The sequence below is a fragment of the Homo sapiens genome, chromosome 7, assembly GCF_000001405.40.
Source record: "Homo sapiens chromosome 7, GRCh38.p14 Primary Assembly".
Classification (NCBI taxonomy): Eukaryota; Metazoa; Chordata; class Mammalia; order Primates; family Hominidae; genus Homo; species Homo sapiens.
The window spans coordinates 12,563,237-12,587,505 of NC_000007.14; the positions used below are offsets into that span (position 1 = coordinate 12,563,237).

Sequence of the window (24,269 nt, forward strand, 5' to 3'; positions counted from 1 at the left end):
TAGGCCTCAGCTAGAAGTGTGAGTACCAGCTGTCCAGGGAATACTTGTTAAGCTGTTTATTTTAAAATGCTGTCATTTCAGGAGAGGAACTGGGTAGATACGGAGTTAATGAGGCTCCCTTTGCCAGCCTCAAAAGACACTGTTCTCTGAAGTATGTAAAATAAAGTATCTTCGGAAATCCTTTCAGTCAGTTTGCTTACTCCATAGAAGCCTGTGATTTCAAGCAAGCCTCAAGATATCAAGAGTAAAAGGAGTTACAGTCAAATTGCATAATTTCAACTCATATAAAGGGAGGTTGTGATAAAAAGAGAATTGGCTGAAGGAAGTTATTTCTGGCTAGCAGAAAATAATCTTCAAGCTTTAACTTTTAAAAACAACCTTCTGTTTGGTTTAAATGAATTAATTAACCTTATTTTTGTAAGTATCTTTACAACAAAATGATAATCTGATCATATCTGATTTCCATCATTTTCTATGGTTACACAGTTCTAGCATTCAAGTATTGTTGACTTAGTCCTTGAAAATCTGAAGTTATTTCTCACAAAGTGGTAATGCCAGGGCTACAAATAAGCAAGCAAAACAGAATAAATTGTTAATTGTGATTATTAGTAAAATAGAGACATTTAGAAAAATCAAGCAAAAAAGATGACACAGGCTCAAACACCATTAGCCTCAATTTTATTATATTTTAGACGATATGATCTCCATTTATACAAATATAATTTTAAAGGAAAAAAATACATTTAAATCATAAATTTTCATAAACTTTCATCCTCAACCTTTCTTTTGGTCATAAGCATTCTTCAATGTATAAACTTCTAAAGTAATGATAATGTCTTCTGTAAATAATCAAACATGGGTTAGAAATTGCTTTCATAATAAAATACTGCATGACAGTATTCAGAAGAAATGTCAAATCAACCAACTATGACCTGCTGTAGTAAGTAGGTTTACAAAAATGGACCATATATCACACCAGCAGACATTCAACAGCAATAAAACCTTCACTTTAGTACTGAACCTTGGACTATGATAGTTCATGGCTCAGTATTACTTTATAGTTATAGTGTTATGTGTAGTTTAAAAATAATTGACTTATGAAAGGGAAGGTCCAAAATCCTGATTGAAGCTTTTTTTTAAATGAATGCTTTTTTGGGCCAGGCGCGGTGGCTCATACCTGTAATCCCAGCACTTTGGGAGGCCGAGGCAGGCAAATCACAAGGTCAGGAGATCAAGACCATCCTGGCTAACATGGTGAAACCCTGTCTCCACTAAAAAATACAAAAAATTAGCCGGGCATGGTGGCAGGCGCCTGTAGTCCCAGCTACTCGGGAGGCTGAGGCAGGAGAATGGCGTGAACCTGGGAGGCGGAGCTTGTAGTGAGCCGAGATCGCGCCACTGCACTCCAGCCTGGGTGACAGAGCGAGACTCCGTCTCAAAAAAAAAAAAAAAAAAAGAGTGCTTTTTTTTCTTAAGCTCTAGTTTGTTTAGAATGAGTCAAAAGGATAAAAATACACTTCCCTGGAATGTATTTTCACTTCTAAGTGAAGCTTTGATAGGTACTGGGAAAAAGGGTGCTTGCTGATTATCAACTGACTTTGTTGATTGTGTGCTTAGGGCTTTGACATACATAATCTCTTTTAATCCTCACAATGCTCAGGTCCCCTGATTCCAGGTTCCATGCTTATACCCTCAAATAATTTGGTAAAACAAACGTTAAGTTATTACAATTTAGCAGGACTACCACTAAAAGAAATGTATTTTTAATTACATTATTTCATTATTTACATAACAAAAAGAAAGCAAATAAATAGCACATTCAAAGCATTTACCTCTCCTGGGGGAAAAAAAAGTGCAGTCCCTGTCTTTCGTATGTTTAGTTTCAACAATTCTGGGATCACGATGCAATGATATAAATAAAATGTCTCTCAACTCTGAGATTCTATCCCTGAGGAATGAAGATCGCTTGAAGCTGATTCATTTTTCCCAACCCATTTTAGTGAATTGCACAATACATCAATTATATTATTTGACATTGTTTTTTATTCAGAAGAATAACATATGCAACATTCCCCTCTAGGTATTAATATTCTAGAACACTTACCTTGAGTCCAATCACATTGGCCCCAAACCTCAAACCTCCTGACTCTTGGTAAAGACTTATTCACATTGGGTGTTTCTCCTTGGACTCAGGTTTGTAAATTGATGAAAATATAAATGTAATTTAATGTAAAACAAACAATTCAATCATATCTAGTCAGCATGTATTACCATAAAGCCAGGGAATCAAATAATGAGTCATGAATCTCTAAGTGAACCTTCAAACTTGAGAGAGAAAACACACTTCAGAGTGTGGGAGCTGCTATGATGTAAGCAGATCTGGAGTGCTGGGAGCACAGAGGATGCTGGAGTTTAATGGATCCGGGGGAATCATGACCCTAAGGAAGCAGACTTTAAAGAATTAGGAACTTTAACAGACAGATATGGAAGAAGGGCAATAACACAAATGGAAGGAAATTATTTACTTTTAGGAAACTAGGGTATGAGAGAGGAAGAGAAAATAAAGGCCTGGAAAGGAAACTGGCACTTGGTTTTGGAGACGATTTTTTTGTGTAGAAAATGGGCAGTCCTTATCTGGACTCTGGAAACATTATTCGTTGAAGATTGAATTTGGAGAAATGAATTAATCACTTGTTAGTCTCAGTGGAGTTTACTGCCACTTCCTATGTACCAGGTACTTTTCCAGGTTTATATGTATTTATCCATTTAATCCTCATGACAATTCTACAAGGAAATTTCTGTCAGTATCCCCATTCCACAGATGAGAAAACTGAGACACATAATGTTTAGTAACTTGCCCCAGCTCAGTGAGCTGAAATGGGGGAGAACAAGGATTCAACCTAGGTCAAAGCCATATTTTAAGTTAGGCCGCTTAACTTTCACTGCATGTCTCTACTGAAGATCAGAGGAGGAGCAAGAGAGTAGGCTACTAGGGATGGATTGGGTTGTTGATTGAATATGGAGATAGAGAGTGTTAGGTCAAAATTAAATGATGCTGTTAGTGAAATTAGAAAAAAATAGAAGTATGTTTGGATAAAACGATAAGATTGTTGTGAGTATGTTGAACCTGACCTCAGCAGGACCAATCAGGTAGCTATATCTATCAGGGAGTTGGAAGTTTAGATCTGGAGCTCACTTAGCCAGGAGAGGACTAGGGTCAGGAGAGTGAGGCACTTGCCTCATGCACAAAATTAATAGGACGAAAAAAAAGAAAAAAATAAATCAAGTATTTTAGTATATAAAATGGTATTTCAATGCAGCACTTTTTTAAATATCAAAATGCCAAAACTATTAACTATCAAAGTGGTTTTTTTGTTTGTTTTGTTTTGTTTTGTTTTGTTTTGTTTTTTTGAGACGGAGTCTCGCTCTGTCGCCCAGGCTGGAGTGCAGTGGCGTGATCTCGGCTCACTGCAAGCTCTGTCTCCTGGGTTCATACCATTCTCCTGCCTCAGCCTCCCGAGTAGCTGGGACTACAGGCGCCTGCCACCACAACTAGCTCATTTTTTGTATTTTTAGTAGAGACGGGGCTTCATCGTGTTAATCAGGATGGTCTCGGTCTCCTGACCTCGTGATCCGCCCACCTCGGCCTCCCAAAGTTCTGGGATTACAGGTGAGCCACCGCGCCCAGCCCAAAGTTTTAAGTAGTGGAAGGATCAGTACTTTTCCTTTGTCTCAGCCTGTACAGCACTATTAACAATCCTGTCTCTATTTGAAATGTTATATCATGATATTTTGCATTAATTTTGAGCTTTAAAATATCACCTTAAAATAGTATTTATCTTGAATGCTACTTTGTTGTTGTTTTTTGTGCCTCTTTAACTTTTACATCCTAGGCATCTGTCTTACTTGCCTCACACTAGCTCTGGCCTAACCTAGAGGGAATTTCACTTTCATCTATGCCAAAGCTTCTTTTTATTTCTTCAACAAAGAAATGATCACTGAAATTGAAACTGAAATTGAGACACCTCTGGTTTTTAAATTATCTTAAGTCTAGAGCACCAGTTCTTATATTTTTTTTCGTCAGGAGGAAGAGAACACATGATTTCAGTCTACAGATAAGGAAACTGAGACCTAATGGCTCAAAGTTAAAACTAAGTTTCTTAGTGCTGCATGGGACATACTAGATCAGAAGCTTCTCTAGATACAACCTTGAAGAAAATAAAATTATAAAGTATGCTTCAGGGAAAAACACCTGGCCAAATAATTTAGATTGAAAGAATACGTTTTTGGGAAGAGCAAGTACTTTTGAATGAGAGAGAGAACTTGAATTCCCTTTGGCTACTCATCAGCTGGGTGACTGACCTACGGCAAACTCCAAAGCTTCAGTTCCCTCATCAATAAAATGAGGCTTCATATCCACCTCTCACTGTTTTGGTCAGGAGACAAAAAAAGAATGTAGCTAATAAAATTTATCCATCAGGATCTCAACTTACAACAGAGCATGCATGCAAAATAGGAAAATTCCAGGAGATTTTTAGGAAGCTATATACAAAAGAACAGAGGCAGAGAAAACAAAAGGAATAAAACATGTGAGGGGAGAGTTGCTATAACCCAACAGGAGACAAAAAGTCAGACACAGTTATTCGCCTTTAAAAGAACAGTGACTTTTTGCTGAAGGAGCCAAGGAAATAAATACTCCAGCCTCACTCTCTTTTCTCCCTCTGGTCTCCAACCAAGCCTCAAGCCAGAGGACATCAGAGCCCACTTGATTTAGCTCTTGTAGATCAACCTCAAGGGAAGGTGGAAGGGTGCAGGATAGAGAAGATATCTAAAGGAGCAAAAGGAAGCTCACCACCACATAAAAATTGTTCCTAATTATTGAGTGTTTTCTGTGTAACAGACACAAATACCTTATATGTGTCGACTCATTTAAACCAAATAATCTTATAAGGCAAATATTATTATTTTCCCATTTTAGAGATGAGGAACATGAGGCTGGCTGTGTGTAGTTAAGTAACTTCCTGAAAGTCTCAGAACTAAGGATGAAAGCAGGAATTGAATCAAGGTAATGTGTACTATAGCCTGTTATTGTCAAAGATCAGTAAGTGGTAGTAATTGGTTTCATAATTATCGTCACTACATAAAAGCTATTTAATCCCAACCAATTATATTTCCAGGGTTTTATCTCAATTATAATACTGCGAATGCATAATAAAGTATGTTCAATATGCTATTTGTAACACTGTATTGGCAAAATATACACAAAATTTAAATGCCTAGTGTTGGGGCTCAGAAACCAATACCACAAAATGTGACACTTTGACATGCTGAAATGAAGAAGGCTTAAGTTTTCTTTGACCTTCCTTCACCAATCCTCTCTTTCCCAAAGCACAGAATGAAGGTATTCTCTGAAGTTCCCTTATCTGCCTAAAGTCTCGACTTGCCAAAGAAGAAAACAGTTACCTCTGGTCTCTTCCCTGACTTTCCACAAACTGAACTCATATTGCAGAAAGAAAGACTGAAGTCTGTCAACACACACGGAGAGCTCTGCAGGCTTAACATACTTTGTCTCAGGCCACTGTATGTTCTTCAAACACATTGAATTCCCCTAAAAATCATTTTCTAACCCCCCAAATCACCCATACATCACCCATCTGCCTTTCCTCTAATAAGGAGGTACAACCCTCTGTACCTCATTGGGATATTGGCCAATCACTCTGTGATTCTCCCCCATGCCCGCTGATAAATTTGTATGCCATTTGTCCTGTTAATCTGCCTTTTGTGACTTGATTTTTCAGTGAAACTTCAGAGGGTAGAGGGGAAGTTTTCCCTTGGCCCCTACACTATGAACTGAGATAGACAAAATAAATTAGTATGTTTATAAAGTGGAATACCATATGGTCAGTAAAAACCGGTAGCTCTATGAGTACTGTGTGTTGATACACAGACACACACACACACACACACACACACACACACACACACACACACACGGGGGGGGATTCGAAAAGGTTATATGTTACATTTTCTGTTAAAAATTTAAAATAACTACATTACCTATATTCTTGTTGACAAAATTTGAGTGCCTGGAAAAATACATAAGAAACTGGTAACGTAATTGCCTTTGGGGAAAGCAACTGGGTGGCAGGGTGAAATGGAGATAATTTTTTATTGCACACATTTTGTACTTTTAATTTTTTTACCATGGTCATGTAATAACCTATTAAAAACATAATTTAATTAAGGAAAAAAATCTAATTTTGCATTATTATTGACCTTCCAGGGATTCATGTAATTTGAGAAATTGAATGAAAACAATTTTACATGCATGAAATTCAGCTTTCTTACTCTATACATCCTGAGTGATTTGCCTTTTTCAGTAACAGAATCCTTTGCTATACCAGCTTGTTAAATGAATGCCAAATCAAGAGTAAAATTTCCATCTGTATTCCATAGTGTTTTAGCCATGCTGCAAAAGCAAAACCTGTAGGTAAAACAAAGAAAATTATCACCTTGAAGCTAGGTAACAGGTAACCCAGAAGTCCGGCCAAGCATAAAATTACAGCCACAAACAGCCCTGCAGAGAACATCTCAGGACGGCGGCTGCTGGGTTTTTGTTGTTGTTTTCATCTTTCTTGGCCAAAGGAAGCAGGTGTTAAGAGAGCTCAACCACAGCTCCTGAACTCTGAGATTTACAGAGCTCTGTCACCTGGGGTAATACTGCCATTCTTCCAGGTTTTCTTCCTGTCCAAGAAATCTGACATGCTGTTTTTCATGGTATTTTCAAACTGGAAGATCGAGACAGAAACTTTGGTCGTCAGGAATGCAGAGATTGCCCAATGAAATGACAGAATTGATCATTAGGATGCTTGTTACTCAAAAAGCCCATTTTTTAAAGAAGGATGTATTAAAATTATTCCAGCATGCTAATGTGGCACACTCCTCTGCTGCCTAACGGCAGGTGTTGCTATTAGCAGAGGAAGCCTTGTTCTAAGAATTATTCTAGAGGGCCAGAAAGAACAGGTATTGCTCCACCCGAGTAAACGCTGACTCAACTCTGCAGGGCTGGCGCGCTCTTTCCTCACCTCACCCCTCCTGCCAGGCACAACTGAGATCCAGAAATAAGAGGATTAGCGAGAGAAGGGGAAATATGCAGGACGGTAGTGATGGGTATGCACAAAGGAGTGCCAAGCAGTTTTAACCGTTAATGTTCTTCGTCTATTGCTAGAGAAAATGTCTTTCCTTGGAGGAGGCATTGGCACGAGTTACTATAAACTCCCTCTGAATCTCAAGACTTCTGGGACGCCGATTCCGCTCCTGGCCTGGGGCAAGGCGTGGGAGCTTGGAAGCCAGCGCTGCGCTCCCCGTGGGAAGCGATCGTCTCCTCTGTCAACTCGCGCCTGGGCACTTAGCCCCTCCCGTTTCAGGGCGCCGCCTCCCCGGATGGCAAACACTATAAAGTGGCGGCGAATAAGGTTCCTCCTGCTGCTCTCGGTTTAGTCCAAGATCAGCGATATCACGCGTCCCCCGGAGCATCGCGTGCAGGAGCCATGGCGCGGGAGCTATACCACGAAGAGTTCGCCCGGGCGGGCAAGCAGGCGGGGCTGCAGGTCTGGAGGATTGAGAAGCTGGAGCTGGTGCCCGTGCCCCAGAGCGCTCACGGCGACTTCTACGTCGGGGATGCCTACCTGGTGCTGCACACGGCCAAGACGAGCCGAGGCTTCACCTACCACCTGCACTTCTGGCTCGGTAAGGGACGGCGGGCGGCGGGACCCCGACGCACCAAGGCCGGCGAGGGGAGGGCGTAGGGGTCTGAGATTTGCAGGCGTGGGAGTAAAGGGGACCGCAAACTGAGCTAGCCACTCGCGCCCCCACGGGGCTGCCCTTTGGGGCCGGCCACTTTCTCCCTACCGAAGTCAACTCGCCGGCTGCAAACGCGGGGCTCAGGCGTTGTCCGCAATTGACTTACCTCGCAGGCTTTGACCTTTGCCAGGTGTAGTTCCTGGACTTTGGAGCTGGTGACTGGCTTCTTCCCCTTTCACCGTCAAGTATCCAAACGCCACTCTTGTCCAGGGCCGCTGCCTCAGCGCACACCGTCTCTGGCCAAGCCCCGCTCACCTTCCGACAAACTCAGTCCTGCTTTCCCTGTCGGGATGGAGAGGAAGTCATAAAGTCTGGGGGCATCTGCCGCCGCTAGGAAGAAGTCCTTTTCTTTTTCTTCACACATTATTTTTATTTGTTGCTTTCGGGCACTGGCTTATTTTCTCTATGATTGCGGGAATTATTGTTCTGGGCTTCTTTAAAACAGGATTCTACCCGCACCATGCTGCTTGTGGGTCTGGTAGACAAAAACTCCGCTTCATTCGGAAGCTGGCGTCCTCAGATAGAAGTAAGAAAAAAATACAGATATTTTATATACAAATAAATAGCTCTATATGGGTATTTCATATATTTATGTAGACTGCTTTATTGTTATTATTTATTATTTATTTTAGCAAGGACACAAGATGGAACAGAAACGGCTCCTTCAGCAGTAGTAATTATTTTGAGCTGCGTTCGTGCCAGGCTGTCAGGACACTGGGCCTTGTGTGTTCTTTTTCCACCTTCTACTTTTACTCATAAACATCCTGAATGTCCAGCCTCTCCCCAGGAGGTCTTGTGCCAGTGGGCACACCCTGTCTAACAACATGCCGATTCTCTGAGCCTTTTTGCCTTCTTTTAAAACTAGCTAGCCTGCCCAGTACTCGTGTTTGTTTAGTTTTATCCCTGAGCTTAGGAGGAAAACACACAAAACCACACACACTTACACATTTTTGAGTCCCTGAAAGCCAACACTGTAATTTCCAACATTTGAAGATTTTAAGAAACAAAATAATAGAAAACATTGAGTAGTGACTGTCTAAACATTGGCAAACACCTGGAACAGGCATTTGAGAAATGAGAAATGAAAAATACGTAGATGAAGATAAGACTTTTAATTATAACATTTGGAGTCAAAAATTTGTGTTAGCTTGAGGAGGCAGAGAAGGCTCAGCCTGAGTTCTGAACACATTTTGGCTTCTTGATGCATTGCTGTTATTCCTATTATAATGTTGTAATACACAGTCATCTATTTGTATTTTCTGCCAGAAAAGACTGAAACTTTTATAACCCATGTTCAAGAATGAATGATGCCAGATAGAATAATGATGTCCTTACAGAGGACTTTCCATGCAGAACTTAAATCTAGCATGAATGAAAGTGTTTGAAATGCCACATTTGCCATTTGAGTAAATTAAAATGTGAAATAATGCCATATCTTACTGTAGACAGCAGTTAAGTTTGACTTTGTCAGATGACCGCAAGGGAGATTTGAACACAATTCTTTAATTCTATACATTTTTATCCAAGTTGTCCTCTTAACTACTATATTTTGTAGGGTTTACAGATTCACCTTATTCACTTAATTATCTACTTAATTATCCACTTGATGCCCATAAATTTCAAAAATATAATAGAAAATGGTTTGGGCAGAAACATTTATAATCTTAAAGACATGCTAAAACTGAAGTCAATAACATGTTAATAACAAGCAAATTCATTCAGTAATTATTCAATATGGCCAGTACTGTACAAGGCACTTGTGGATATGAATAATTAATGAAACTTCTCTAAAAGTTCATCACCTCAAAGGTGCAAAAAGACAAAAAGTGATATAACACAGGTAGAATGTGATAATTACTGTGAAAGCACAAAGTTTCTGTGGTTATTGGGAAACAGAAGCCTTTAGAGAAAAAAAAAATGAGAGTACTTGGAAGTGTTCTTGTGTCAAGAGAGAATTATGGAGAGAAAAAAAGCTTCAAGTAAAATAGTCAACAGGACTTTCAGATGGGATTGCCCAACAGCTCTTCCTACTTCAGTTCCCTAAGAAAACAGAATTTCATCCAAAATAGTGTAGTCTAAGACCTAAATTAGGATGAATCCATGAGGATTCATCAGAGAGACAGATTGAGAGAAAGTCACAGGAGAGAGAGCTGAACTTCCAGGGGAAAAGAACATTTGGTTAAAGGAAATCAGCCGGAAGAAAGAGAAACTAAAGTTAAACTGAGATGAAAAAAGGTGCATAGCATAGAAATGAAGAAACAGGCCAAATGGGAGGCAAAAAGGGGAAACAGGAAGAAGTTGGACCTAGAACAAGAGAGAACAGAGCAGGAGAGTCGTCTTTCTTGGTCTCTCCCTCAGTGTTTCCATAACACTTGGCATATCTCAGATTATTTTATTGTATTAACATTACATGCTTGAATGTATTAACATCATATGCTTAAATGTAATGAAAGTAAAAATTTATTGCAAAGAACTTAAATGTTATTGCATTAGCCCTTCTTTAAAAACATTTCAGCTTTGCACCTAGCAGTTTAAATGCATCCATTCACCTCTGTTTGTAGTTCCTTATAGCACCAAATCAATGGGTAGGTCTAGATAGTAAAACTGCTCCCTGTCACATCCCTAACCTAAGGTACAAACACTTATCCTCACTCTTTCTCTTTGCCAGTTTTAAACTTCACACAAATATATTTTAAAGCAGTATACATTTATGTTATAAGTGGGCTATACCAGGCCTTGTGCAATGCCCTGGGAATCCAAAGGATTGGATTACAATATACGATACAAAGAACTTATACGAAGGACTGGCTAGAAACTGGATCATTTACATTGCTGGAGCATGGGGGTGGGTACATGCAATGGTACAGCACTCTGGAAAAGAGTTTAGTAGTTTCTTACAAAACCAAATATACTACTACCATATGAGTCAGCAATTGCATTCATAGGTATTTATTCCAGAAAAATGAAGTTTTGTATTCACATGAAAACCTGTACCTGAATGTCCACAGCAGTTTTATTTGAATAAACAAACACTAGAATCAGCCCAGATGCTTTTCAACAGGTGACTGGTTAAACAAGTTGTACATCTGTACCAACTAATACTACTCAGCAATAAAAAGGAACAAACTATTGATACATACAACAACTTGGATGAAGCTCCAGGGAATCATGCTGAGTGAAAAACCCTAAGAGGCTTTATACTGTATGATCCCATTTATATAAAATTTTTGAAATGACAAAATTTTAGATTTGGCATTGCCGTTGGTTACAGATAGGGTGAAGAGGGGATGATGTGGGCAGGAGAAGAGTGTATTATAAAAGGGCAACTTGAAGGATGTTTTTGGTGGAACTATACAGCATCTTGATTGTGATAGCAGATGTATGAATTTACACATGTGATAAAATTTTATAGAACTAAATGCACACACACACGAGTACAAGTAAAACTGAGAAAATACGAATAAAATAGGTGGATTATATCAATGCCAATATCCTGGTTGTGGTGTTCAGTGCTATACTGTACTATACATTAATATGTTAAGCTATACTGTAATTTTACAAAGTTGCCACTACTGGGGGAAATTGGGTCTATTGATCTGTGTCTATCCTTCAATAGTACCAATCTGTTTTAATCACGTTAGCTATGTAGTAAACCTTAGTATCAGGTAGAGTGATTCCCCCCACTTTATGCTTGTTTGTCAAGATTATTTTAGCTATTCCAGGGCCTGCGCCTCACTATATAAATTTTGCAATAAGCCTGTATATGTCTATAATAAACCTTACTGTGATTTTGGTAAGAATAACATTAGGCCTATAGATCAATTTGTGAAGGATTGACATCATTATTATGTGGAGTCTTAAAATCCATGAACACTAAGCGTTTACATTTACTTAGGTCTTCCTTGATATTTTGAATGCCATTTTGTAATTTTCAGCATACAGATCCTGTACATGTTTTTAAACTATATGCCTGAGTATTTCAGTTTCTTTGGAGTGATTGTCAATAGCATTGCGCCTTTAATTTCAGTTTCAGCATGTTCATTGTTTCTATATAGAAATGTGACTGATTTTTTGTATTACTGATGAATCTTGTATCCTGCTAATTTGCTCAATGTACTTTTTATTTCTAGGAGAGTTTTCTTTTTTTTTTTTGGATAGGTCTCTTAGAGTTCACTATGTAAACAATATTGTTGTCTCTAAATAGAGACCTTTTTATTTCTTCATATTCAATTTGTATGCCTTTTTTTTCTTTTTCTTACTTTATTGCAGTGGTTAGAACTTGCTGTACTATGTTGAATAAGAGTGGTGTGAGTGCACACCCATTTTCTGGATTTTATGGGAAAAACATTTAGTCTTTTACTGTTCAGCATTGCTAGCTCTGTGTTTTTTGTTGACTCTAATTATCGTTGGAAGGTGTTCCTCTCTATTCCTAATTTGACTTATTTTATTTTATCATGAATGGCTGTTGGATTAACCTAGTTTTAAATCTCTCTTTTTATCTATAAAATCATTACATCCACAAAATACTTATAGAAATTCATAGGATGTACACAAGTCTAACATAATATAAAATAACACGGCACAGCATAGTATAACAGAACATAAAAGACACCGGTAAAATCAGTGTAGGGAAACAACAAATGGAAATCATAAGCAGATTCGTAGGGGAAAACTAAACTGATTCTTAAGCAGACTTTATACACAAAGTTCATAAGTTTCTAAATACTTTCTGGAATTCCATCATGCTACAACTGGATTTGATTCTAATTTTCGCATCCAAAGGCTGACATTGGCTTCATCAAGACCGTCAACCTCATTCAGGCATCCTGTTTTATTCATACAGATATTCCCTGGCCAACCACATTACATAAGCATCAGCAAATGATAGGATAATTTAATTAACTTACTTTCAGTTCATTCATTAACTTCATGCCTGTCCATTTACATCTACCTAAAGAGATTCAGGTTTCAACCTGTAGTCAGGTAAGGACGTTTATGTCAAATACATCATCTTTAACACCTTTGATGTTAACCTTGATTCCAAGTTATCTCTTAAAGCATCTCTCTTAAGGCATCATAAAAATCTACATCTACATCTTTATGGTATTCTCAGTTAGGGTTCGGATCCCAAATCGGCAGAAGAATGACACCAGAGTCCTTTCAGATTGCAAAATTGCCGGTGTGTCAAATACTTAACTTTGACCACAGCGAGTTCACAAAATTGTTATCACGTCAAGTAATCTTCTAGCTACTGAGTTGTTTTTTTTTGTTGTTGTTGTTGTTTCCCCTCAGAAGATACTTGGTATATGAGTCTCATTTGAGAGTAAGAGGGAAATTGTAAGGAAATCTGATTCTTTCTTTAATACAACTGACTGATTTGCCTTCTTCAACTTTGGTGAATACTGTCAGTTAGGGTTGTTCATGTGAACTATTAAATTATTACAGCTTCTAAGCTTTTATGCATCAGTTATCTATGGAAGAAATTAACATACCTTGTCACTATAAAATTGTACCGCTAATGAGAGCCTGAGTACAAAAAAATACCCACAAGTGTACTGGAGTTTTTAAGAACCTGTGCTTCAGAGTCACACAAACCTACATCTGGTCTTTTTCTCCCAAAAGTTGCTTTATGACCTCAGAAAAGTTACCCAGCCTCTCTAAGCCTCCATTTTCTCTGTTCCAATCTAGTAGAAAATAGGTTCTGCTTTATGAGGTTGCTTGAAGATTAAATGAGATCATCCATGTAAAACATTGGCATAGTGTCTGGCCCATAGGGGTAGTATAAATGTATAATGTTGGCTATTATTATTTCTAGAGTCATTTAAGATTTTTATTACAGCTTGGATGTAGTAAAGAGTTTGAAGTGTTTTCCATAAAATGTGAGTGCCCCTCCTGACTGTCCGTACTGTATCCTTTATGTACACTACAGACACTGGTTCTTAGGAATTGTTTTGACCTTAGTGAAGTTACCTGGATGTGATGTGTATTACAATTGTGAAAATTAAATGTATGTTGTATGTAAAATACCTGGAACAATACCAAGTACATTAACACTTAATAAATGTTAGCGTGCTGCTTCCTTTGCTCTTCCTTTCCTCCAGAGATCATTATTTCATTCAAACAGAACCAGTCAGATAGTGAAGTAGGGAAAAAGACCAAAAAATAGGGGTAAAATTAAATTATATTCATTTTCCCATTGTAAAAACCACTTATTTAATTATGGCTCTGATGCTCATATTTCTCACAAACATCAGTTAACATATTGACATATCATAAAATCAAAGATTTATCCTAATAAAGGCTAAACCACTTGTCAAATGTTTTCATAGTCTGATCTTATTGACCTTACCAAATTAATGCTTACTTAAATCTCATTGGAATAGATTGTTTTATCTTCTTGAGCAACTTCACACAACAGTGTTTCTTTTTAAAATTTTTAAAGGAATTGGAAAAAGCAGAAACAAAAACAGGCCGGGCATGGTGGCTCATACCTGTAATCCCCAACAATTTAGGAGGCCAAAGCCAGAGGACTGCTTGAGGCCAGGAGTTTGAGACCAGCCTGGGCAACATATGGAGACCTTTTCCCTACAAAACACTTTTTTGAGAATTAGCAAAGCATGGTGGCACGCACCTGTAGTCCAAGCTGCTTGTGAGACTGAGGTAGGAGGATCGCTTAAGCCCCAGAGTTTGGGGTTACAGTGAGCTATGATTATGCCATTGCATTCCAGGCTTAGCAACAGAGCAACACCCTCTCTCAAAAAAAAAAAAAATAGACTAAAAAAATTGTTAATTATTAGCAAAATAATGTATTACATACAGTATTTTAGCTAAAAGATCTTTGTGTAGAAGACTGTTGGATTGATACATAATTGAAATGAAAATTTCTGACTTCTTTCATATCAGAAATTCTGCCTTAATCCTTTCTCTTGCTTGATAATTGAGGTGCTGTTGTTCACTGTTTTAGGAAAGGAGTGTTCCCAGGATGAAAGCACAGCTGCTGCCATCTTCACTGTTCAGATGGATGACTATTTGGGTGGCAAGCCAGTGCAGAATAGAGAACTTCAAGGATATGAGTCTAATGACTTTGTTAGCTATTTCAAAGGCGGTCTGAAATACAAGGTAAGCAGCTCCCTCAGTTTCCATTATGAATCCCTTTCTCCTCTTGTCCATCCATACCTCCTGTCTTCATAGAATGACAGTTCGTTGAGGGCAGGGGTTTTTGTTTTATTTGCTTTTGTTTTAATCTGTTTTGTTCATGGATATATCCCCAGTACCTGCTGGATACAAAGTAGGTGTTCAATAAATGTTTGTGAAATGTGTGGTACAATATGTGAAATATTGTGAAAATTTAATTTGATAGGTTAATTTTTTAAAAGAGCTTTCAGTTGTGTCTTCACAAGATACCTTTGTAATATTTTGTAGCTATTTCAACATTTAAATTTTGGTAATTTGGGTCTTAAAAGTTTTCATTTTTGCTATTCTAGAAAATCTCTGAAGTTTCTGCAAGTAACCTAAGCCTTCAAAATCTCAGTTGTTCTGGAATATATTAATACAGTATTTATAATAATTATAATTTTAGTAACTGTAAAGAACTATACATGTATTTCCAAAATAGTGTGGTTTGATCTTAGAAGGGATGCAGATGAAAATTTTGAGCTTAAAATTCTGCAGGTAAACTACACACACGCACATACACAATTTATGCACACTGGTCTGAAACACTGATCAATTGGCTTTACTTCTGAAAATAAACAAGAACAAATAGTTAAATGGTTCTATCCCTTTAAGGCAGCCTTCAGTATAGGACAGGTTTTTTTTTTTTTTTGGCATCCTCCTAGTTAGCTTTCCAGACTGGCCCTCCCTTCACCATTCCTGCCACTCACCCCTCCACACGTGTTCAGTTAAAGTGTGAGGAATACCCTCCCCAGACAAACATCACAGATTTCCGAAATCAAACACGCTCCAGCAAGTGTTCTGCACACCCCACTGCCCTGCCCTGTGAGCATGCTACCCTAGTGAAGACCTGAAACCTTAGAGCTTCACTACAATTCTGACTGTAATACTAAGTCCGCCTACTAAGATGGCGAGGTTTATTTATACCTTTACCTGTTCAGAGTCTTCGTTGAATATTTTGTGATATTATTGAGATCAGAACAAAACACTTATACATTATAGGTTCTCTTATGTCTCTTGAAATGATTATTTTATTCTAGGCTATGAACTACCCTAAATACAAAACTATTACCTCTCATTTTATTTGATTCACAGGAGCTCCTACAGTTTATGACAAACGATACTGAAACTTCCTTTATGTCAGTGAACTCAACATTTTAAATAAATTGAGTCTTGTAGTTACTAAAAGCAGGTGCTGTGACACCATCATAGTTATGAACCCATTTCTGCCACATATGACTTGTTTGCTTTAGGGAAAATACTGAGCTTTCTGTGCTCAGTTTCCCCAAACAATGAATATTATAACAGTTTCCTCATACAGGTGTTGTATTAAGGAATAAATTAAATAATAAAGTAACTGTAGTCGAGCATGGTGGCTCATGCCTGTAATCCCAACACTTTGAGAGGCCAAAGCAGACGGATCACCTGAGGTCAGAAGTTTGAGACCAGCCTGACCAATATGGTGAAACTCCCTCTACTAAAAATACAAAATTTAACTGGGCGTGGTGACATGCGCCTGTAACCCTAGCTACTAGGGAAGCTGAGGCAGGAGAATTGCTTGAACCCAGGAGGCAGAGGTTGCAGTGAGGCGAGGTCATGCCATTGCTCTCCAGCCTGGGAGACATGAGTGAAACTCTGTCTCAAAACAGGAGTACATAGATGAAAACTTGTATTTATTTAATTATATAATACTTAGTTTATTCAACCAAGAAATGTAGCAGTCGTTGTAAAATTATGGACTGGGAAATCATTTTATATTTTTTTTTAATTTGAAGTTTTAATTGTCCTGAAATTAACATTTAATCTATACCAACTTTTATTGGAGAACGGTGGAAATTTAAAATCAATGGAAAAGAATGTGCTAATGACAAATTAGCTCTAATTTTCCGTACCATTATTATTATAGAGGTCTTTGATCTATCAGTGACAGTTTTGTTTATACTGTAGCTCAGTTATTCACATATAATTAATTATAATTAATAGTAGAAATAAAGATATGGTTCATATCATTTAATTAGAAAAAATGAAAAGGTAAAAGATCATTGCAAATAATATAAGAAGATGTAGTTGATACAGTTAATATCTTTCTTTAATTCGGGTGATTGTATTTCATTTTATTTTATTTTTTTTGTTTGGGGATGTACAGCCAAGATATTGCATCTCTCCTAGCTTACAGTAAAAACACTCAGGCCTAGCATATTTATTAATAGTAAGACCTGTTTACCAGAAAATAAAGAAGACATTTGATTACTTTAAATGTAAAAACAAGGACCATACATAAGATCAACCCATTCCTGGCCAGCACTCAACAACCATCTCTGTCCCAACCCTGTACCAGTGTGAACTTTTGGGTGCCTTCTTCTCTGGCTGCTGTCATCTGTATGTGTTACTTCTGACCCTCCTCTAGCCACCTGTCACCTTCTTCCCTGAAATCTTTGCCTTGCTCATTATTGATTTGGGGATCATTAGTGTCCAAAGGGCAAGAGCTATGGCATCTTCTTTTTGTTTTTGCAGCAGCGTTTTATACACTGAAGGTTCTCAGTAAATACTTGCAGTTGTCAATTGAATGGTTAAAACAGAAAGAATAAAGAGACCAAACAAACACAATCTGTTGATTACCAAGGGGTTCTCTCTTGTTTTATGGAATAGGTGGCTATTTTAACTTGGCCTGACAGGTACAGTTTTGGCACAAACACCAGCAGTATTATTGTGCTTTGCTTTGTCTAGGCAGACACCTCATCAGTTTTCTCTTTGTTTTTTGTGTGTCTGTCTTCCCTCATTCATCAGGCTGGAGGCGTGGCATCTGGATTAAATCATGTTCTTACGAACGACCTGACAGCCAAGAGGCTCCTACATGTGAAGGGTCGTAGAGTGGTGAGAGCCACAGAAGTTCCCCTTAGCTGGGACAGTTTCAACAAGGGTGACTGCTTCATCATTGACCTTGGCACCGTAAGTTTCATATATACACATCGATGTCTAAAGAAAAGTGAATTGCTTTCGGATCAAATCATATGTACATGTCATTGAAAAGAATCACTTTTTCTACACACCAGAAAGGGGCCACGTTTATGTGAGCTGAGTAATTGCCAAGTATTTAAATGACGCATGAAGTGAGACTTCAAAGTTTTTATTTTCTTTGATAGGTTTAGAATAGTGATTTAGTTCTTCCTACCATAGAACAGAAATTGACTAATTTTTAATACATTTCCCCTTCTCTCTGAACAGAGCTTCCTCTAATTATTTTTGTCTCTAATTGTGCATGGGAAAACATAGCTTGAGGGGGAAACTGGTTCCCCCAGCAACAAAAGGTTCTAGAATATAATATGGACATAAGATGAATCTAAACAGCCACCTAAAGAATTTTAAAGACATATTTTGATGTACGTATATACACACACCATACCATTTCACACTTTTCAATTAGCACAAGTACAAATATCAAGTATTATCTTAATGGCATGGGCAATGGTATATTATATCTGACTTATGTTTTCTTCCTGGAAAAGACGCTCCTCTAATATCAGGTATACTTATTAATCATTACTGTCATGACAAAGAAGCATTATTTCAAGACCCTTTGCTAGACCCTAGAAGGTAGAATATAAGTTGTGTCTTTAAAACTTTGTGAAGTTTTTATAATAGAAATAAAGAGCATTTCCCTCCACTGAAAAGCCATGTGCAAAAGCAATGAAAGCAAGAAAGCACAGAACTTATAAGGCTCTCCTCTTCCTGCTTTTCATTATCATCATTTTCATCACACCATACATCTCAACATTCTAATTATCATTCCTAACATTTCTGGGCCAAACGTTGTAACGGAGTCATGAGCTGACCTGCATTGCTTCAGTTAGCATGAGGCTTGTCTATGGAATTTGCTCAAGGTTGCAAAGTTAGTAAATGGTGAAGGCAGGATTAGACTCTCAGCATATCTGATTCCCCACGAAGCATTTTGTTTTATTGCATCTACTTGGGCAGTATTTTGGGATAAAGCAGTAGACAGAAGCCAAAAGAGCTTATTCCATCTGCATAGAGGAGGGCACAAAAGATTCTGAAAATAGAGTTACAAAGTTCTGTTTAAGCAATATTAATCTAACAACAGTACAGAGATTAAATGTACTAAGGTTATACATTGTTTAGAAAATGACCCCAAAGTATAAACTGCATCAGTTTCTTTAAGTGAGCGTGCATCTATAGTTTTATTACTACTTATACATAATCCAACTGTCTTGGATCATACCAGCTTGTGTGCAAAGTTGAGATCACAATAATATAAATGCCCAAAGTACAATTCTTAATATTACACGTAGACATCTACACCCTAAATGGCAGTACCTTTGCCCTGAATCTCACAATAAATTTCATGGGAAAGTCCTTTTCAACTTCAATAGCTAATTCATTCTCCTAACAGATTTAAGTCCTGACTCTCATATCTAGGCAGAATACACATACTGTTCCACCCTTCCATTCTCCCCTACCGCCACCACCCCCTACACTATAAATAAAGAAATAAATAACTCGTGCACATAAATGTCTACAGCCACACAGTTCCGAAAGCAATTGCAGCATTCAGTCTCTCAAACCTTATGCACAATAATTTTCTATCTCAACTTTCATCTCCACCACTTGTACTCTAAAGCCCTTTATAAGTGCTTTTGAAAATAAAATGGCATTTTTATTAGAAAAAGGAGACCTCAGTTCTCATTCCAGTTGCTGTACTCTGAGGTTCTCATCTGTAAAAGCAAATATTTGAGTAGGTGATCGCGAGGGTCCCTTAACCAGAAAGGCACTTCCCAGTGATAATGTAATTAATTGCTGCCATTACTTGAAAGTATTTCTTTTCTTAAAAAAAAAAACTTGTTATATATAATGTAATTGCTATGTAAATATAATAATCTATTCAATTATCATGAATAGCTTCCAATTCAGCTTTCTAACTATCTGCTATGATATTGGGCAACTCATTAATGTCTCTGAGCCTTAACTTCCTCATTTGTTTTTACATCTTGACTCTGATTTCTGATACCACTTTTATCCTTAGCTGACTATGATTCAGTCTCATCTGACACACAGTCACATCTGGGAAATGGCAGTTATCATCCCAGTTTCAAAAGGGGAAACAAAAGCCTTAGGCTTTAGAAGGTATGTGCAAGTCACTCCACATTCATGCCAGTTGCGTGATGACCCAGGATGGGTCCTGGGTTTTTCTATTCCTACTTTACATTTTTTTCACCACACTAAGCTAACTTGGTAGTATATTAGATAGTATGGCCTGGTAATAGAATGCCTTGTGACAGTTTCAGAATCTGCTGAATTCAGAACTGATGATGCTTAATCTGCTGAGATTCCACTGAAAGCAGTAGTATTCACTAAATCATTTATTATTTTGCAGAACAAATACAGAGTTTCCACTATGGGCCAGGTAGTTGGGTGTGGTGGTAGACAGGTTGTAGTTCTTGTGCCGTATACTCTCTTCCCATAGTCAACCTGTGGGAGTATGGGCCACAAATCCAGGTTCACGTAATAGGGACAGAGTCTCTATTATAAGGTTCCAGGGCATTCATCTATTTAATAGTAAATTATTTTTATTTTATATAGTTAATTATCTTTAATAACTTTCAAGTTCTCTTTTCCCATGCCTTGTAAAAGAGATATTTGGAATGAGAGATATTTGTTGCAGAGGTACTGGTGCTTGGTTATCAATTATATTCTGGAATTTTCCTATACTCAAAAGGGATACCCTGGTGAGAATCAAGCACCAGATTCCTACATAATCTATGGCAAATACCTCCAGGATCTGTGTTTGTGTTATTAACCTTTAACCAGTTGGTATGTTGCCAAAAGTTTCTGAATGGTGATAAGATCTTGAACTACCTTGGCAACTTTATTTTGGGGTGTGTCAGTAAACAAAGAAATACACGTAACTAAACTTTTCTGTACCATAATATTTTAATAGTAGTAATTGCGCTAGTTATCCAAAGACAACCTTCTGCATCAGAGAGCCTAAAAGGATGCCAGTGCAGTTTCTTCAAGTTTGTATTATGACCCAGGTATGAAAAACTTAGGTTAAACATCCAGTTATCACCCAGCTAAGGCCACCTGGCCAAAACTAAGGTTATGGATATAACCTAAATCCCATACCTTGATCATATATCAGAGAAATCAGCTTTTTTGATCAACAGTCACTATTATTAATATGTTATTCCATATTGTCCTTTTATTGAATTTTAAATTATAGTAAATATTCCCGGACATTACAATATAACCTCCTCAGCCTGAGGCATAAGATAGTAAAATTATCAGTTTAGCCAGTTTGAAAGTGAAGAACATCATCAATATTTTGGAGAATGATTTAGACCCATTGTCTCATAGTTAGCTTATTTTTAGACAATAACATGAAATGTGGCCAGATCTTACCAATTTACAGAGTCATTGGAAAAACACTTTTGAACAATATATTTTAAAGTTGGTGAATTTATTAGTCATGATTTTCCCATGATTTTTAAAGATATGAACTATTTTTAGAAATTAGTAAAATTACATCTGAAAATACTGTAAAATACTACCAGTAACTGCAGAATGTGAATGATAGTGGAAGAAAAGCCCATATTCTTAAGATTTGGAGTCTGGGGTTAACTCTTGGAAAGATATGTCACAGTCAGCCACTAGTGAAGAATTCTATTTCCCAGGAGTAGGAATTCCTGTGGTGAGTTACTGATCCTGATGTTCCCCATGTTCTGTTTCCTTGCTGTTTGGTCCGTGATGCAGCTTTACCCTGTTCTCCTCACTATTTATAAATGATCACGCCCTCTCCCATTGTCCAGTCATGCTGCTTTGAAAAAACAGTCTCCACTTCCTCATTTACCAGTCAGTCTTTAACCCACAGTCAGACTTTCACTCTCACAGTTCCTCGGAAAATGTTCTTGTTATGGGCATCGATGACCCCTGGTAAATCCGGTGGACACCGTGACATTATGCACGTGATTCTTGTGTTGCAACCCACACTTTTGACTTTTCCCAGCTTATCCAGCCTCACTCCTCCCCTGGCTTCCTTGTTTTTCTCCCTCTCAGGCCACTGTTATTCTTCTTTGCATGGCCTGCCCTTCAAGTGCTTTTTTAAAGGATTTTAATTATTGTCTCTTCTTTTATACATTCTTCCTAAGCAAACTCATCCCCACCCAGAGCTTCAACTACTACCCATGAGTCAATCTAAACTTTAAATCTAACTCAGACCTCTTGCCTGAGCTCCAAGTCAGTATTTCAGATATTTCATGTTATGTGTGTCATAAGAACCTCAAACTCAACACATCTAGAAAATGATTTCTTCTCTAATTGTCTTTATCTTATTAATGGAGCCACCACTCACTCAGGATTTCAAAGCCAAAATCCAGGAGTCATCCTGACTTCTCCCAAGTGCTCTACATTCATTTAATTGCTATCCTAGCCTGTTCCACCTTCTAATTATCTCTTGAATCTTTCCTGTTCTCTTCATTGCTGTTGATACTGTCTTAGTACCCAGTGCCTGACACATTCCTTCAAGTCACCAGACTTTTGCTGTTGCAGATGGATTCCTTTGCTAGAATACTCGCCTCTTATTTGGCAACTTTCTCCAGCAGGCATCCAATATTTTCTCATCCTTTGATATCCACGTCAGATATTGTCTTCTTCATAGTTTGTTTCCTGACCTTTTCTTCTGCTTCCACTGTCCAGTGTCCCAGCCCTTTAGGGTCAGATTTAGACTTAACTTCCCTGTCATTATGCAGAGACTTGCTTCTCAGCCTTTTTTATATTGCTTGTCCATTTACTTATCAGCCTTCCTCACTCACTGTGTTTCTAAAATATAAAGCCTACAACTTACAGTCACTCAACAGATGTTTCAACAAATGTATATCTATCCAGCATAAAGTATATGGCTCATGCAGCCACATGTCTACAGTGTTTTTTAATTCATTTATAACTCAACTGGACCCTATTCTCAAGCTCCTATTTCCCCAGAAGGTTTAAAAATAATTTTGATTTATTGAAATGAATTTTGAATGGCCAATAAGTAAATGAAAAAATGCTGAACATCACTAATTATCAGGAAAATGGAAAGCAAAACCACTATGAGATATCATCTTATCCCAGTTAGAATGACTGTCATCAAAAACACACACAGAAAAGACAAATGCTCATGAGGATGCCGAGAAAAGGGAACTCTTATACGCTGTGGTAATGTAAATTACTACAGCCATTATGAAAAACATTATGGAAGTTTCTCAAAAAAAATAAAAATAGAACTACCATATGATCCAGCAGTCCCACTACTGGGTATTTATCTAAAGGAAGGGACATTAGTATATCAAAGGGATACGCATGCCCCTATGTTTATTGCATCACTATTCACAATAGCAAACGTATGGAATCAACATAAATATCCATAAACAGGTGAATAAAGAAAATATGGTATACACACAATGGAACAATAATCAGCCATAAAATAAAGTATGGAATCCTTCCATTTGCACCAACGTGGATGAATCTGGAGGATATTATGTTAAGCAAAGCAAGTCATGCGCAGAAAGATAAATACTTCATCTTCTCACTCAAATGCAGGGACTTAAAAAATGAGCTCATAGATCTAGAGAGTAGAATTGTGGTTATGAGAGATTGGGAAGGGTAGGGGGAGGGGAGGCTAGGGAGAGGTTAATTAACAGATACAAAATTACAGCAATATAGGAGGAATAAATTCTGTTCTACTGTTGTATAGTGCTATGTGGTGAATACAGTTAACAATAATTTATTGTATATTTTTTCAAAGCTAGAAAAGGATTTCGAGTGTTCCCAGTACAAATAAGTGATAACTATTTGAGGTGATTGATGTGCTAATTACTCTGATTTGATCATTACACACTTTATACTTGTATCAAAATATCACTCTGTAGCCAATAAATATGTACAATTTTTACATGTCAACTAAAAATAAAAAGGAATAAAGGTGAATTTTGTTAGCCATTAAAGCAGTTTGAACTTATCCTACCCATCCTCTTTTCCATCCCTCAGGAGTAGGGGACATATATGTAATATTGTAGCCTGGGGGTGGGGAGTGAGGATGAGGATGGATGTGTGAGTCTGGTTTGTACTCATCAGTCCTCACTAATCTATAACCTTCGTTGAGGTGTAGTCATTCCATTAATTCTTGAGCTTTCGGCTTTGGCCTCTGTTCCCCAGACATTTGCTAGGGAATATCCATAGCC

The 24,269-nt window shown here is 37.8% G+C and overlaps 2 protein-coding genes across 3 annotated transcripts in view, besides 1 other annotated feature; one reads left to right on the forward strand and one right to left on the reverse strand.

The window, feature by feature from the left end:
* Positions 1 to 656: 656 nt before the first annotated feature.
* Positions 657 to 24,269, reverse strand: part of LOC107986768 (uncharacterized) — a 31,315-nt gene continuing 7,702 nt past the window's right edge. Inside the window, exon 3 of the transcript XR_007060635.1 lies at positions 657 to 8,145. The gene's annotated coding sequence lies outside the window, so the exon portion shown is untranslated. The remainder of the gene's footprint in view (positions 8,146 to 24,269) is intronic.
* Positions 4,003 to 4,052: an enhancer, noted in NCBI's record as "active region_25665". NCBI's record gives its function as "activates an Ori minimal core promoter by ATAC-STARR-seq in GM12878 lymphoblastoid cells {active_cell/tissue: GM12878}" and the evidence as "EXISTENCE:reporter gene assay evidence [ECO:0000049][PMID:35858748]".
* SCIN (scinderin) overlaps positions 7,484 to 24,269 on the forward strand; it is an 89,463-nt gene continuing 72,677 nt past the window's right edge. For both annotated transcript variants that reach the window (NR_156701.2, NM_001112706.3), the window contains exons 1-3: positions 7,484 to 7,749; positions 14,828 to 14,982; positions 17,824 to 17,985. Coding sequence is in view for 1 of the 2 variants with exons in the window: in NM_001112706.3 (NP_001106177.1) it covers positions 7,551 to 7,749; positions 14,828 to 14,982; positions 17,824 to 17,985 (516 nt within the window). In the remaining variant the exon portion in view is untranslated. The remainder of the gene's footprint in view (positions 7,750 to 14,827; positions 14,983 to 17,823; positions 17,986 to 24,269) is intronic.